General features: G+C 39.7%; 1 protein-coding gene across 3 annotated transcripts; it reads left to right on the top strand.

Moving 5' to 3' along the window:
- SERPINA7 (serpin family A member 7) lies at nucleotides 717–7,009 on the top strand. 3 transcript variants are annotated; one of them, NM_000354.6, is made up of 5 exons: nucleotides 717–746; nucleotides 2,369–3,007; nucleotides 4,059–4,332; nucleotides 5,062–5,209; nucleotides 5,741–7,009. In NM_000354.6, the coding sequence occupies exons 2-5, from the start codon at nucleotides 2,386–2,388 to the stop codon at nucleotides 5,942–5,944; spliced, it is 1,248 nt and encodes a 415-aa protein (NP_000345.2). In that variant the 5' UTR covers nucleotides 717–746; nucleotides 2,369–2,385; the 3' UTR covers nucleotides 5,945–7,009. The 3 variants fall into 3 exon arrangements, with proteins under 3 accessions (NP_000345.2, XP_006724746.1, XP_005262237.1); XM_006724683.3 differs by having other exon boundaries at nucleotides 5,711–6,014; XM_005262180.5 differs by having other exon boundaries at nucleotides 5,680–6,014.

The raw sequence follows: 17,427 nt of genomic DNA, 5'->3' as shown, positions 1-17,427 counted from the left end.
GAAGCAGGTTGAACTCAAGTCTCCTGACTGAGTCCAGTTCTTTTTGTTCCCATTGCTTCTTTGCATATAATCAGTACACAATTAATACTGGACAGTGGAATCTTTAATTTCAGTCTCCTTGACTCCTTCTGCATCCTCTTTTGGAGTCCTGTGGCCAGGGGACGGTACAGGGAATTTTAATGACGAGAAGACAGGGCTGGTTTCCCCCTTAGCAGACATATATGTTTGCAGCATCAGAAGTCTAGGGCTGGAAGCTACCTTTGACATCATTTCCTCTGCGAATGCATGTATAATTTCTACAGAACCTATTAGAAAGGATCACCCAGCCTCTGCTTTTGTACAACTTTCCCTTAAAAAACTGCCAATTCCACTGCTGTTTGGCCCAATAGTGAGAACTTTTTCCTGCTGCCTCTTGGTGCTTTTGCCTATGGCCCCTATTCTGCCTGCTGAAGACACTCTTGCCAGCATGGACTTAAACCCCTCCAGCTCTGACAATCCTCTTTCTCTTTTGTTTTACATGAAGGGTCTGGCAGCCAAAGCAATCACTCAAAGTTCAAACCTTATCATTTTTTGCTTTGTTCCTCTTGGCCTTGGTTTTGTACATCAGCTTTGAAAATACCATCCCAGGGTTAATGCTGGGGTTAATTTATAACTAAGAGTGCTCTAGTTTTGCAATACAGGACATGCTATAAAAATGGAAAGATGTTGCTTTCTGAGAGATGCAGGTGGATTCTTGGGCATTTGCTGTAAGTACTTTTTTTCTCTTTGGAAACTTTGAACATCTCTATCAGCAAGTCAGAGTCCCAAATAACCAAGTTGGCAAGTCAGAGTCCCAAACCAAATTCCTGGCTCTAGGGGTGAAGGTCTAAGTGTGGTCATCTAATAATTGACTTTCTACCAGCCTCAGTGACTTTTAAAGAAAGAGGACTCTGATGATGATATGGAGATTGGATAGAGTGGTGAACAAAGGGGGTTGGTATGGAGGATATAGGAGATGGTGTGATCTGTTAGGAGCTGATATAGTAGCTCAGGCCATGAACTGAGAGGCAGAGGCAGCAGGAATGAAGAGAAGGGAGAAGTTTTGAGAGTTATTTAAGAGTTAGTATTCATAAGACATCATGCTTCATTAGATATGGGGAATGAGAATAAAAGGAGGCTATGATTATTCCCAGGTATCTGGCTTAGGTGTCTCTATAGACAGTGATGTGATAAACTGAGATGTGGAATGAAGATGAGGGAGCAAGCTTAAGGTGTAGGGAGATGATATGTTTACATCTGGCAACTTTGAGATTTTCTTATTGAGACTGAGGTCTGTGTGGACCATCCTGGTGGTTATATCCAAAAGAAAGCTGGATAAATGGCTAGGAGCTCAGGAGAGCAATCTGAGAGAGATACAGTTTCTAGCAATTGAGTGCGGAGGGTAAGATCACTCAGGAAGAAGATGGAGGGTGGAGGAAGGATCCTTTTTCTGAGTTCATAGACCTCTTCCTTCTAAGCACACATGTCCACTTTCATTGGATTTCCACACCTGACTTCTTTACTCCATTTCTTTGCACTCTTTCAGGATCAGAGAACCTTACACCTTATCTTTCTGGCTTTCTTTATAATAATTAAAAGTAACATGCATAGGTGTAAGAATAATAGTGTTAAGATGTCTTACAACTTAGAAATGACTGTTTAGATGTTACTAAGATTAATGGTGAAAGAAATGTAAAATTTAGAAAATTATTCTTTCATTTTCTGGTTGTTCGAAAATACCTCTATGGCTTCCATGCATTGCAAAATGCATGAATTTCAGCTCATGACCTTGTACGTGGCTCCATAAACCACCACCCATCCATTCCAACTAATCATATATTGTACAAATTACTTTCATTTTGTCTTTTAGCCAAATAAGATGCGAGTGTTCTCTCATCTCATAGATTTTATCTTAAGAAAATGCCAGATGAAAAAAAAAATCTAAAATTCTAATCTACAATGAATAATGTATACAGAGGGAGTACTAGTTTAACCTAAGAATATCCCCTCTCTCCAAAAGGCTGCCTCTAGTTCAGAAAAAAAGTGATTCAATTTCCATAAATTTAATTTACTCACAGCGTTTTCATAATGTTGCTATAACATCTGAATGACAGTCCATGGCATTATTTCCGTGGTTGCAGCAAGCCACTTCTCCTACTCCCTGTCCATATTAGATGCATCTCCTGTTTTTCAAGGGAGAGAAACCCCTGCTCAGCCCCTGATGAGCACATCATCAAATATTTACTATTGTTTTATTAATCAATGTGGGTGGTTATTATGTGTCTCTGGCTCAGGGAGTGTTTCATCCAACTAAGCTCCCTCAGTGGTTGTCTCACTTCATCTCTTATAGATTAACTTCCTTCCAAAATGTCACCATTCCTGTATCTGGTTCTCTTGGTACTTGGGCTTCATGCTACAATCCACTGTGCATCACCTGAAGGCAAAGTAACAGCCTGCCATTCATCCCAACCAAATGCCACTCTCTACAAGATGTCATCCATTAATGCTGACTTTGCATTCAATCTGTACCGGAGGTTCACTGTGGAGACCCCAGATAAGAACATCTTCTTTTCCCCTGTGAGCATTTCTGCAGCTTTGGTTATGCTTTCCTTTGGGGCCTGCTGCAGCACCCAAACTGAGATTGTGGAGACCTTGGGGTTCAACCTCACAGACACTCCAATGGTAGAGATCCAGCATGGCTTCCAGCATCTGATCTGTTCACTGAATTTTCCAAAGAAGGAACTGGAATTGCAGATAGGAAATGCCCTCTTCATTGGCAAGCATCTGAAACCACTGGCAAAGTTCTTGAATGATGTCAAGACCCTCTATGAGACTGAAGTCTTTTCTACCGACTTCTCCAACATTTCTGCAGCCAAGCAGGAGATTAACAGTCATGTGGAGATGCAAACCAAAGGGAAAGTTGTGGGTCTAATTCAAGACCTCAAGCCAAACACCATCATGGTCTTAGTGAACTATATTCACTTTAAAGGTAAGACTTTCAGATGTCAATTTTCAGTCTAGGGCTCAGATACTTGGGTGGAGTGCTGAGGGGAGCTCATGGTCTCTTATTACTGGCATCAGTAGGTGTCCCTCATACCACAGTGATCTGCTCCACTGGACATAGCTGTGAATAGTATTGGATCTTCCAAGATGGACACACAGCTCTGTGAATGAGTCCAGGAAATTTCTAGGGAGAGCGCCCTTTCAGAGAGGTGGGTGACAATGGTATGAACATCTTGCTCATAATTGGCTAAAGATTCATGGTTTCCAAAAGATTTGGTGAGGTGGGACAAGCTTGCACTTGTCAAGTAGACATATTTGTATGTAAAGCCTACTGTGATTCTCACTTGCTGTACATACTTAGGCATGTTACATACATAATTTTACCATGTATTATGCACTCACTGTGTACTAAACACCATCTGACATGTGTGGTATACACACACTGTCTCAATCAATACTCATAAGTGTCCAAGTTTACACAGTTAATAAGTTTTAGAACTGATATTACCAACAAGGTCTGTGTGAGTCTAAAGCTGGTGCTTGTAGAAACAAGAATCATGTGACTATTTCCTAAAGGTACTGTGCTCAAATGATTTCTCCTGGTTCTATAGTATATGTCAGCCACATTTCTTGGAGGAGTAATCAATTGTCGGCCACAAACCACACATAGATAGATTGGCTAAAATTGCAGAACAGATCTGTTTTCTCACTTCTCCCTAGTGTGTTGGATGTCGTTATACCTTTTTATGGAAGAGGAAACTATGGCTCTGATGGGCTTAGTGTGGTATAGTAGTTTTGAATACAGACTGTGGAGCCCAACAGCCCTGGGTATGATTCCTGGCTCTGCCACCTGTTAACTGGGAGACCATGACAAATGACTTTCTCTGCCTGATCCTCAGTCACTTGTAAAACTGGTTGACTGTAGGTACCTAACTCTGTGGTGATCTTAATTTCTAAATGAAATCACTAATGGAAAAGGTCTTGTTGGTACTGATACCGGTTTAAAATAAACACCTCTCTTTTCTTTGTATTTTAAGCCCAGTGGGCAAATCCTTTTGATCCATCCAAGACAGAAGACAGTTCCAGCTTCTTAATAGACAAGACCACCACTGTTCAAGTGCCCATGATGCACCAGATGGAACAATACTATCACCTAGTGGATATGGAATTGAACTGCACAGTTCTGCAAATGGACTACAGCAAGAATGCTCTGGCACTCTTTGTTCTTCCCAAGGAGGGACAGATGGAGTCAGTGGAAGCTGCCATGTCATCTAAAACACTGAAGAAGTGGAACCGCTTACTACAGAAGGGGTAAATGCCTTAGAGGATGTGTGGGTGGAAGGTGGGCATAAAAGTGCAGGTGAGACAGAGTTCAGCAGAAACCCAGAGGCAGAAGAATCACCCTGAACTACCCAACAGCTATGTATGATCACTAGAATATGCCAAGAAAATACTGTCTACCAGGCCCTTGGCTGGGCATTCTACATACTTCATATCATCCAAGCACATCAACAAACCTACAAAGGAGGCAGTATAATTGGCATTTTTCAAATTAGGAAGTCTGGTCTTGAAAGATAAGATGAGCTCCCCAAAGTCAGCCTATTAGTAAATTGATGGCTTCCTGTAGACCAACTAGAGCTCAAAGAACAGGTTGGATTTTGATGTTGAAAGGTGATTGGGCAGCCACTCTGTACTGGAAGTGCAAGGCAGAAAACTGTGAAGCTCCTGGGTGCTACCCATTAACCTTCATGCCACTAGCTCCCCAACCTTGGTCGTCACCTCAGGGATATTTTCTCTTGATTATAAAGGAGTTACATCTCCCTACTCCCAGTGCTTCAGTCCAACATTGGCTGTACCTGAGTGCATTCCTTTCAGAATAACTTCTGTGAGTTTGGTGCCATGTATTGACTTACATAGTAATGGTTATCAATACTCAGGGAAGAAGCAGAGTCCAATATAATACCATCATGAGAGAGAGAAGGAGAGAATCATAAGCTTGATATGGTGATTGCCATGTGTTCCCTTCCTCTTTTCCCACAGATGGGTTGACTTGTTTGTTCCAAAGTTTTCCATTTCTGCCACATATGACCTTGGAGCCACACTTTTGAAGATGGGCATTCAGCATGCCTATTCTGAAAATGCTGATTTTTCTGGACTCACAGAGGACAATGGTCTGAAACTTTCCAATGTAAGTTGATAAACTAGAGTTCTTAAATGTATGAACTGGAAGAGCAATTAGGAGTCAATTGATTCAACTTTCTTATTTTACCAATTAGCAATCTGATGCCTAGAGAGGCGGTGTGACTCCTCCTAAGCTAGAATCACTCCAGAGTCATTCCCATTACTCCAAATAAGTAATTGTATCAGTTTCTTCCATCCTTGACCTTTATGTCCCAGAATTACTCTGATAGAACAGCTTAATGATCAGAAGTGACTCTGGTGAGATGCAGTTCTGAAGGAGGTGTGAGGAGGGAATGCTTAAGAGGTGACTCCTGGCGGCAGCAGGCCATAGTGAATGAGGTGTTTCCCAATGGCTAGCCGTAGAATCGCCAGAGAATGATTGACTACATTTAGCAGAGGAAACTTCATATTCTAGCACCATCAACATAGTATAGCAAAGGGGCGGCCCCACCTTTCCTTTCCCTTTCTTACTTCTAGACCTTCCCAAAGACTGTTCCTGTTTCTTCAGAGACCCGCAGGATTTGTTCTCCCCACACAGGCTGCCCATAAGGCTGTGCTGCACATTGGTGAAAAGGGAACTGAAGCTGCAGCTGTCCCTGAAGTTGAACTTTCGGATCAGCCTGAAAACACTTTCCTACACCCTATTATCCAAATTGATAGATCTTTCATGTTGTTGATTTTGGAGAGAAGCACAAGGAGTATTCTCTTTCTAGGGAAAGTTGTGAACCCAACGGAAGCGTAGTTGGGAAAAAGGCCATTGGCTAATTGCACGTGTGTATTGCAATGGGAAATAAATAAATAATATAGCCTGGTGTGATTGATGTGAGCTTGGACTTGCATTCCCTTATGATGGGATGAAGATTGAACCCTGGCTGAACTTTGTTGGCTGTGGAAGAGGCCAATCCTATGGCAGAGCATTCAGAATGTCAATGAGTAATTCATTATTATCCAAAGCATAGGAAGGCTCTATGTTTGTATATTTCTCTTTGTCAGAATACCCCTCAACTCATTTGCTCTAATAAATTTGACTGGGTTGAAAAATTTTCCCTTTTCTGTCTTCTGGGGAATAGCTAAAAAGCAGGTCAGGTCTTCGTATCCCAGTACTCCAATAAGATCAATGGACATAAAACAATGCAGATGCATTGTCTTATATGTGAACTTCTCAACCCCCTTCCCACTGTCCCATTAGTAGGATTCTCTGAGTTCTTGCCAGATCTGACACTGGTAGGTTGAATAAAGGAACTCCCACTATGGGGATGAGTTACAGACTGAGACAACTGAACAAGTTACTGAACAAGCATGGGACAATACAGCAAGAGATAAACTTGCCTGTCCAACCCCACCTTCCCCCCAAGAAAACATACTTCCACCTTGCCAATGTATAAGCTGGGAGTGGAGAAAGAAAGTAATTCATTCATGTCATATCTCATAGACCCTCTTTTTCTGTATCCCAATCAGACTCCTTTCCATATATAGCACCCCTGTCCCACTTGTTTAAGTAGGAATCTCCTTTTTGGCTCTAATTTCACTGAATATTGGTACTTTTGTATCCCCAGATCCTTCAACAACCTTCCCTCTACCTGTACATGCCAACTCATTACCACCTACCAAACTAGATTTTATTTCAGACACTATGTATTTAAAGCTTGAGTATAAATGGCACAGTGAGTGGTAATGATGTAGTATCTGAAATTCTAGCCCTGAGGTAAAACACTTCAGTGACAGGAAAATAGTAAAAAAAATGCATAAGTACTGTTGCAGATGTTGTACTTCCATATTGAAATAAATATTTATGTTTAGAAAAGCATGTGTATTACAAACATTCTAATTTTTTCTGATTAGACCCATTTGCATGGAAGTTTGTTTATTCCTGGTATAGTTCACACTTTGCTTTTGTGTAAGCAATTTTTGAAGCCCAGAGCAGAATCTCTGGTACAAAAATTCATTGTTAACATGGAGTTGTGTTTCACTAAAGTTACATTACAATCCTGGCCCTGCTACTTAGTGTTTGGTGATCTTGGACAAGGCACTTAAACCCTGTACCTTATTTTCTTCATCTGTAAAATGGGAACAATAAGAATATCCATGTCATTGGGATTTTGTGAACCTTCAATGTTGCAAAGCAGGTAGCATGTAATATGCTCATCACAGAGCCTGAGACCTGATAAAAAGCCCTGTAAATATTAGTTGTTTCAATCATGTTGGTCAACACCAGACAGTGGGCTGGTATCAGAACCAGGATTGTAATGTGAGTCTCTTGATTTGCGGGTTTCTGTTCTCTAGCTCAGGCTCTACCTCCAGAGGCCAGAGTAAATGTAAATATCAACTCCTTCCTACCCCCTACCGTCCAAATGAGTTCCATCAGAACTTGTTCTGGAAGGAATATCAGTATCTTCAGAGGGAAGTCAGGGATTAAAAGACATTATCCCTCAAGTAGTTCATGTGTCTCCTTAGAGACTAAACCTCATTCAGTCATTCTTTCCTGTGGTCAGATCATGAAGGGCTATCACTGTTTGTCCTGTGACAAACTAAGAATAGCAAACTAAGAATAGAACATAACTTCCTTAACCTCATGAAGTTTACCCACAAAATAACTAGAACATGTATCTCACTTAATAGAGAAAATTTGTAGCAGAATTTTTACTAAATTGGGAATAAGACAAGGATTCTATATATTATTGCTTTTATTTAAAATGATATTGGAGATGTTAGTGCAGTAAAACAAGAAAAATAAATAAACATTAAAAGAATAGAGTGGAAAGGAAGAAAAATCTGTCTACACAGAAAAACCAAGAAAATATATTAACGAATTCTTAGAACAAAAGACAGAAAACTTATCTGGGAACCAGCCACAAGAAAGCAGTGGTATGGATTGCACGGAATTTATCAATTCTGCTTTCCTTTCTACATTGTGATAGAATTATAGACACACGGCTTCCCTGATAAACTACATGTTCTAGCCTCCCTAGCAGTTAGGTGTGGCCTTGTAAGTAAATTCTCAACAATGAAATATGAATGTAGGTGACATATAACATCTATCAACTAGGGAATTACAATAGTTGAGTACTTCCTCCACTCTTTTTCTGCCTTTGTTAAGCTGGATTGTGGACTTACTTATGACCAAGTTTGACCACAAGCAGGTAAAGAGCTCCTTGGCAGTCTGGTGAAATCTACATACATCTTTTCAGAATAATTATTTAAATGCTAAGAAAAAGTAGGATTACAATGCTACCGATAATGTAGAAATATAATTATTAAAATAATATTGAAATTACATCAGCAAGATGGCAGAATAGGAAGCCCTGGATCCTCCTCCCCCACTTCCTTGACAAACACCAATTCAACAACAATACACAGACAAATTCCCTTTGTAAGTATACCCATTATGGAAAACAGTATGGAGGTTCCACAAAATGTTAAAAACAGAACTACCATATTATATAGCAATCCCACTTCTGGATATTTACCAAAAATAATTGACATCAGGATCTCAAATAGACATTTGCACACCAGTGTCCACTGCAGCATTATTCACAATAGGCAAGATATGGAAACAACCTAAATGTCCATCAATAGATGAAAGGATGTGTTTCTACATACAATGGACTATTATTCAGCTTTAAAGAAGAAGGAAATCCTGCCATTTGCAACATAGATGAATCTGGAGGACATTAAGCTAAATAAAATAAGCCAGTCACAGAAATAGAAACCTGTATTATTCCACTTATATGAAGTATCAAAATTAGTAAAACTCCTAAAAGCAGAGGATATAGGACAGTGATTGCTAGAGACTGCAGGAAGGGAGAAATGGAGAGTTGTTATTAAATGTGTATCAAGGTGCTGACAAATTCTGTTTCTAGTGAGGGCTCTTTTCCTGGCTTGAAGATGGCCACCTTCTCATTATGTTCTCATATAGTCTTTCCTTGGTGCATCATACAGGGAAAGAGAGAGAGAGAGAGAGAGAGAGAGAGAGCAAGAGCTCTCCTGTGTCTCTTCTTGTAAGGACACTAATCTTATCAGATTAGAGCTCCATCCTTATGACCTCACTTAATATTAATTACTACCTTACTCCAAATACAGCCACTCTGGGGATTAGGACCTTAAAATATGAATATTAGGGGTACAGATACATTAAGCCCATAACACTAGCCTTACTCCAAGTAATACAGAAGTTGGTAGTAGTAGTAGTGGGGATGTTGCAGGTTTGATTATCCAGGAAGCAGATCCTGAAGCAGAGTTTATAGTACAGAACATTTGTTAGGGAGGGCCCTTGGGATTGATGCCTATAGAATGGAAGGGAAGGAAGCAAAATTAGGCAGAGGCTGAAGTCAAGCCAACATGCAGGTCCAAATAGCAACAACCTTGGTTGACTGCACAAGGAAATCTGGAGCTAAAATGGCCAGTTAGAGTTGTTCTGTTTTAGGTCAAAATAGCTGGACCCTCACACATCTACCTTGGTCAGTCATTGAATATGAGCTGACCAGAAAAGGTAATGATTGAGGGCAAGACATCTCTGCAACTAAGGCAGCCCTTGAAGGGACTGAAAGCTGAAGCCTGTCTGCTGACAGGACTCCTAAGCAACTAGAACAACAAGTCCTTTCTTGAAGAGAAATCTGTATGGCACACCTCCATGTCCAACACAGTCAATTCCTTGTCTGCTGAAATCTACTTCTTTCTGTAAGTTTTGGAAGTATTTACTTAAGGATTCTGGTGAATCTTTCTTCCTGGAGGAAGCTTAGAAGGAAACATTTGGTAGAATGAACTACAGCTTCTGCTGCTGCAGCTGGTCTCATTGTCACAACTGATAATGCTTCATTCCCCTCCACTATCTATTCTAGATTCTCCTTCCCTTTAGCTGATCTCCATAGCTCACCTGATGACATTATTAAAAACCACATCCATGACAAGTATTGAGCCACCAGTTACCATAGCATTCTTTGACCAAGATTACTTCATATCTCCACTTCCCATCAAAATTGGGCAAGGAATTATAAAGAGGCACTCATGTGGATCACTTGAATGTCAAACATATTCTACTTGTCCCATTATGTAACAACATATCTTCTTCCTTCTAATGATTGGGATCAATTACCCTTGACTAAATGGTGTAATAAAGAGTCTAACTCCGTTTTCTTAATATTTGACATCTTATAAGTCTTATTTCTACTTCTTTCCTTTATGCCCTACATCTGGGTATGCTGATAAGTAAGCCAGTTCACTCACTTCTTTGGTGCTAGTGAGAATTTCCAGCCAAACAAGCTGCTGCCTATACAAAGAAACCCTCACAGTTGCCTCAACCCCTAACAATCATAAAAGCCCAAGCCTATTTCCTTTCCCTCCTCTCTCAAGCCATTTTTTGACCAGCTTAGGAGGCCTGTCCTGCTTTCCTGGTGTGTGTGTGTGTGATGTAATCAGTCTTGACACCTGACCCAAGTTTTGGGTGAGAATCCACCCTGTGTCTGTAGGATGGCCACAGCAAATGATGTGATTCCTTTTCTTGCCTGATATTCCCTGACCATAAAGATCCTGAAGTGTTCAGGCAGCATCCATAGCTTATAGTTCAATGGGACACTTGCTGAATTTCATGGCAGAAGTGTTTTTCCTTTGGTGATCATTACTTGCAACCCTACAAATCCCAGAATTGTAGGGACAGGTTGCAAAGTTCCCCAGTGGGCCATTGAGAGTAATGCGAGTGTGGTCACTCCATTTTCCATCAATTGCTTCCTGACTCATGAATTCTTCCTATTGGGAGCACAACATCATGTAGTGATCTCTGATTAAAGTTAGTATACTGTGCCTTGGAAGAAGGAATCCAGTTTTGTGAAGTATCACCTCTGAGCTTGTGCTTTATGGAAGCCTTCATCACGTCTTTCTGATGCTCTTTTATGACAGCAACTTCCAAGTGTTACTATAAATGGTCCTTGACTTACAATGGTCTGATTTAGAATTTTTTAATGGTATGATGGTGTGAAACAATTCTGTTTTTCACATTCAGTACAATATGTAATAAATTACATGAGGTATCCAACACTTTATTATAAAATAGGCTTGTGTTACATGATTTTGCCCAACTGTAAACCAATTTGATATATGATGGAATTGGAGTAAAAAATCTTTGAGGAAGTGATGATTACATCTATACTGGCAGTGTAGAAAAAATTATGAGAACCCTACATTTTGCCACATACTAGAATAAATTCATGATGGATTAGAGATCTAAATGTAAAAAGTAAACTTTAAAAGTATTAATAGCATATCATAAAATAATAAATGGGGAAGGAGTTTTGAAATAATAACAAAAGTAAAACATATACAGAAGAATACTGGAAAATTTAACCTCAAGAACTGACAAAATACATCTTAAACAAAGTGAAAATATAATTATAGACAAGAATAAGATATTTGCTATAAGTATACCAGGCACATGATTAGTGATATAATAAATGCCAACAAAAGCAATAAGAAAATGGCACATAATCTAAGAGAAAAAATGGGCAAAAATTAGAGAAACCAGTGCTGATGGAAAAAATTATATTGCCCAATAAACCTATGAGAAGTGCTGGTAACTGGACCTCCCAAGGACTAATTGAAACCATATCCCTGGAGGTGAGGCCTGTGCATATGTGTTTATTAGTTGGTTGGTTGTTCTGTTTATCTTAATTTTTATCTCTCTATTGTAGTACACTATGCATACAAAATGTACACAAGTCATAAGTATTTAGCTCAATGAATTTTAACAAAGAGAACATATCCATGTAATCAGCACCCAGATCAAGAAAGAAGCCGCTTTCATGCCACCTTATGGTTAGTAACCTCCCAAGTGTAATTATCCTGATTCCTAACATCACAAATTACTTTGCCTGTTTTTAAATCTTTATATAAATTAAATTGGCCTGGCGCGGTGGCTCACGCCTGTAATCCCAACACTTTGAGAGGCCAAAGCGGGGGGAGGGGGGGGTCACAAGGTCAGGAGATCGAGACCATCCTGGCTAACACGGTGAAACCCCATCTCTACTAAAAAATACAAAAAAATTAGCCGGGCATGGTGGTGGGCGCCTGTAGTCCCAGTTACTAGGGAGGCTGAGGCAGGAGAATGGAGTGAACCCGTGAGGCGGAGCTTGCAGTGAGTGGAGATTGCGCCACTGCATTCCAGCCTGGGCGACAGAGAGAGACTCCATCTCAAAAATAAATGAATGAATAAATAAATAAATACAAATAAATACAAACAAATTAAATCATATAATTTATACTCTTTTTGTGTTTTTCTGCTTTCCACTCAACACTGGATGATTGCTTATAGTTACAGAGTTTTCAGTCTCATTGTTACATGGTATTTTGTTTTATGAAAACACATTTTGTCTATCCCTTCTAATGTTGATAGATATTTAGGCAATCTCTAGTTTATGAGCTTTGATAAATAATATCTCTCTAAGCATTCTTAAGCAGGTCTCCTAGTGAATAAATGTATGCTTTCCTTATGGGTATAAACCACGGGATGGAATTGCTGAGTGATAGGGTGTGCATATAATCAGCTTCCATAGACATCCCTCTATCTTTGCCTGAATCTGGATTGTCAGCATCTAAGTGCATTCTGGTTGATTGGCAATTTTCCCCTGGGAAAGCTGTTGAAAATTCAGCACTCCCTTTAAGATTTCCAAATCTTTCCATTTGGGTTCTTAGCCACTTTCCCTGAGGTGTCTTTGTCTCCTTACATGATAAGTCTATGTCTCCTAAGACTCTCTGGTGAAGTCTTTGTCTCCACAGAGTCTTAGGAGACAAAGACTTCAGAGTAGCCTTGAGAGAGTATATGGAATTCCATTCTGCTTTTCAGAGGACATTTCTACTTATATTTAGCCTCCAATCCTGTACAGCTTTGGAAATCAGCAAATGCCTTGAGCAAGGTTCTGGTTGTGTGTTTTATTCCCCCCATGTCTTCAAATTTGTCACTCATTTTCCTGTGAACACCAAAAGCTCACCTGGATTATTAATTCCCCAGGTGCTGCCCTTGGCTGGAACTGGCAAAATCTTCCTGGGGTGGTGGTGGTACGGGGGAAGCGGGGGACAACAAATTACAGATACTCAATACAGCTTGGAAAGATTTTATTCTCTGGAATCTTTTTCCCTTTTATCCTAATTGCTTCTGCAGTTTTCAGATACATTTAAAACTAGATTTTAGTAATCTATCTGGCTTTTTTAGGTGTTCTTTATAGGAGCATTGACCTACCACGAACTACTCCATCTACGTGAAATGAGAAATGTTTATGCGTTCTTTAAAATTTTCCGATGTTATTCGAATGTGTAGAACCCATTGAGAACTACTGTCTTAGAGATACACTTGCAAGTGTATAACTAGAGACATGTGCCAGGAAATTCATGGCAACAACGCTATAAGGGAAAACTGCAAACAACTGAAATATCCATCAATAAAGGAATGGATGACTAAATTGTATAATAGAAATGTTCATATGATGGAATATTGTTTGAGCACCCAAATTGCTAAATTAGAACTACCTGTCTAACAGGTATACAATTGCATTGTATACTATAAATATATATTTATTTGCCAATTTTAATTCAAAAATATTTTTTAAAACAATACCTAAACAATTCATGAATACACATATATGAAGTAAAAGTATAAAAATGTGAACTGGAAATACATGCATCAAATTTATGTTAATGCTTACTTCTAGGGGAAGGCAGGTGGTGATGAGATTGAGTAAAGGAATAAAGAGGAAGTCAACTACATCTATAATTGTTTATTTCATTTTTATTTATTTCTTAAGGAGTAAAATAAAATATAAACATTTTCTAGTACTGTGTGATTGGCATCTGGGTGAGGTTATATTATTCTCAGTACTTCTCTGCAGGCTTGAAATTTTTGAGCCTTAAGAAAGACAACTCAGTTTAAATATAACCTTTCTGGTGAATGATTACTGAGTCCCTCGAGAAAACTCAATAACTCTTGTCTAGCTATGCCCACAGGTTTTTCTCCCTGACATTTATTTTTATAGCACTAATCACAACCTATTTTAATAATCTATTTGCTCACATGTTGCTACTTCTACATTAAAAATTATATGGGGAACTATCTCACAATAAGGTGAGTAATTTAGGCCGGGTGCAGTGGCTCATGCCTGTAATCCCAACACTTTGGGAGGCCAAGGCGAGTGGATCACCTGAGGTCAGGAGTTTGAGACAAGCCTGGCCAACATGGCAAAAGCCTGTCTCTACTAAAAATACAAAAATTAGCTGGGCATGCTGGCACATGCCTGTAATCCCAGCTACTTGGAAGGCTGAGGCAGGATAATCACTTTTACCCGGGAGGCGGAGGTTGCAGTGAGCCAAGATCGTACCACTGCATTCCAGCCTGGGCGACAGAGTGAGATTCTGTCTCAAAAAAAAAGAAAGAAAAAAAAAGTGAGTAATTTAAGAGAATTAAATCAGAATAACAAGAGGTAGGGTCCAGGCATGAATATTTTTTAAGCCTCCTAGGTGATTCTAAGGTGCAGCCAGAGCTAAGAACCACAGGTAGTCCTGAAGAGAAAAAATTGGGTTGCCCTTGTTACCTTTTGTGTCTAATACATATTACAAGGAATGGCATAAAGCTAGTTGTCCTCTGTCATCTTGGAACAGCACCTGTGGTACTCCTGTTACTATTAACTTGCATTCATCCATTTCATAACTTCGTGAAAGCAGCATGCTCCTCTGGAAGGTCATGTAAGTCACAGCTTCCCTCCTTGTTCCAGGGGGCTACATCCTTGAAAGGTCTGTCCTGGTTCTGATCAGAGGTTAGCTGATCATTGCCTGCTTTGCATATAGCATCTGCCTTGGGAAAGGTGATGGATTATAGCATAAAAAACAAATGTGACTGTATTTTCTGTGGCCAAATAACTTTCACATGTAGTTCTTTGAAATTCTTCTCTCTTACGGTGAGTATGTTGGCTAATTTTTTGTCAACTTGACTATGATACTGGTTTTTGTTGTTGTTGTTGTTGTTAAATACCAGTGTAGATGTTGCTGTGAAGTTATTATTTACATGTTATTAACATTTAAATCAGTAGAATTTGAATACAGCATATTACCCCTCATAACGTGAGTGGGCCTCATCTAATCAGTTGAAGGCCTTAAGAGAAAAGATTGAGGAACTCTTTCCTGGGTCTCCACCTTGCCAGCCCTGCTGAGTTCAGATTTTCCAACCACACAATTGCGTAAGGCAATTCTTTAAAATAAATCTCTCTCTCTCCCTTTTTCTCCACATATGTTTGTCTCGAGCAACCTTAGTTTGGGGACATCTCCCTGAAGTAGCTTATGAAGTTTAAAAAATGTTGCTTTATTTTCCTATAACTGCACTGAACTTCGCTCTTGACCACACAACCCTTTTAATAGCATATCAATGTATCTAGTCACTTCAAGGTTAAGTTAGTCATTTATGAACTCTTCCTCTCTCTTTTGGATGATACACTGTCACATTCAAGGATTTCTCCCACCTTTTTCCTACTTCCCAACCCTCACAATGATTTAAATAACATAGAAGGAGGGGACTTGCTCATGTATTGCCTTCATGTCAGGGGAGAGGTTTTTTGTCCAAAGTGGGTAGCCTCTGTCCACATTGACTTCTGCTGCTATTTCCTTTCCATGCTGGCTGCTACCCATTCCTGCTGGCATTGGCTCAGTTGGTTCCTGTCCTGCCATGATCTTTAATTCATAGAGGCCCCCGTATTGCATTGTCCTGATGCCAATATAAAGTTTTCTTTCAATACTCTGGCTCTCCTTCAACCTTTGAGGAATCCCCTCTCCTAGAGACATGAAGACTGAGAAAGGCTGTCCCCATACCACATAGGTATGCCAGCATTTTTATGAGGTTGTTCTAATGTACATGCACCTTAATACTTCTCTCAGCCATTGCTACTCTTTTGAAACGCTGTATTGGACATGTGGCTTATCCACACAGGTTTTAAATTTCCAGGATGACATTTTGAAATTAAAGCAAGGTCCCTAGACTTATCTGGAGTCTCTTTTGTCCTCTCCACCTGGAACTCAGCCAAGGAAGGTAAAGGAGGCAGGGTAGGAATAAGTTATAGATTTCTTTCTCAAAGAGTGGTGTGTCTGCTAACCTCTGCTGCCCATAGTGGGTGTTACACAAAAGCAATTTATGCATACAGTCTCATGCTTCCTGGAATATGGGAACATATGCTATCCTCAAGAACTGAGATTAAGGAAGAACTTCAGTAGACGCCATGCCTGAGACTCATAACTGAAAGGAGAGGGTCCTTAGATAAAAACAAAGGCTTTTCAAAGATAATAGACTTGTCCTGATAAAAGATGCATTATAGATCATAGTCAATACTGTTGTGTACATGTGCCATAGACACTGAGCTATCAGAGAAGCTACCAGGAGAGTATTTGGGTGAAAAACTCAAGGCCTCCTAGGACATTAGGGTAAAGGTGACTTTGGAACTAATAATCAGGTCTTGGGTAATTAAGACTAAGGTTCTACAAGAAGGACACAAAAGCTTTACTGTCCACTGGTGGAAGGCCTCTTGGTGTATAGAGAACTCAACCTAAGTTAATGAATGAGGTAAATTATACCCTTTCTGAGGAATCACCTTGACTTGACTTTGTGTGATTCCTTCACAGTGCTTCTGAATCTGGTTCTTAGAAAATGTTTCCAAATTCCTTGACAGGTGGGGTTAATTAAGCAGTCTGAGAAAACGATATACCACGCTGAGGCAAGATCACCAAATGTGGGCAACAAGAGTGTGTTTTGAAAAATATTTCCCAATATTAACCCTTGCCCCCAAGAGTCAAGAACAAAGCATCACAGGAAAAAGTGGATAAGAGGTAGTGGGAGAGAAATAGTACAAATGAACAGTAGGAGTGACCAGAATAATAGGTGATATGCTATATCAAGGTTTAAGTATGTGCCAGGCACTATGCTAAGCATTTTATATATATTATCTCAATTAATTTTATGAAAACCCTATGGAGGAGTGTGGCAGAGTCAGATAGCTGTCCTGCTCCTACCTCCACAGTGAAGGGTTATCTCTGGAAAGTGGCAGCCCAAGGAGGGGCTACGTTTTCTATCCACATCCATGCAGTTAAATGGAGCAATGTGATTATTTCTTGTGATAGACTGAATAATGGTCTTCATAATTACTTCCTAACCTACAGAACTTGGTAAATTTTAATTTACATGCAAAAGGGACCTTGCAGATAAAGAAA

This window comes from Homo sapiens, chromosome X (genome assembly GCF_000001405.40).
Source record: "Homo sapiens chromosome X, GRCh38.p14 Primary Assembly".
In the NCBI taxonomy this organism is placed as follows: Eukaryota; Metazoa; Chordata; class Mammalia; order Primates; family Hominidae; genus Homo; species Homo sapiens.
The sequence above is the reverse complement of the archived record's forward strand: the minus strand, read 5'-3'. Positions and strand labels throughout refer to the sequence as shown.

Coding starts and splice junctions, on each gene's coding strand:
- SERPINA7 (XM_006724683.3), top strand. CDS start 2,386: ATGTCACCATTCCTGTATCTGGTTCTCTTGGTACTTGGGCTTCATGCT. Junction 3,008..4,058: donor GAACTATATTCACTTTAAAG/GTAAGACTTTCA, acceptor TTGTATTTTAAG/CCCAGTGGGCAAATCCTTTT. Junction 4,333..5,061: donor AACCGCTTACTACAGAAGGG/GTAAATGCCTTA, acceptor CTTTTCCCACAG/ATGGGTTGACTTGTTTGTTC.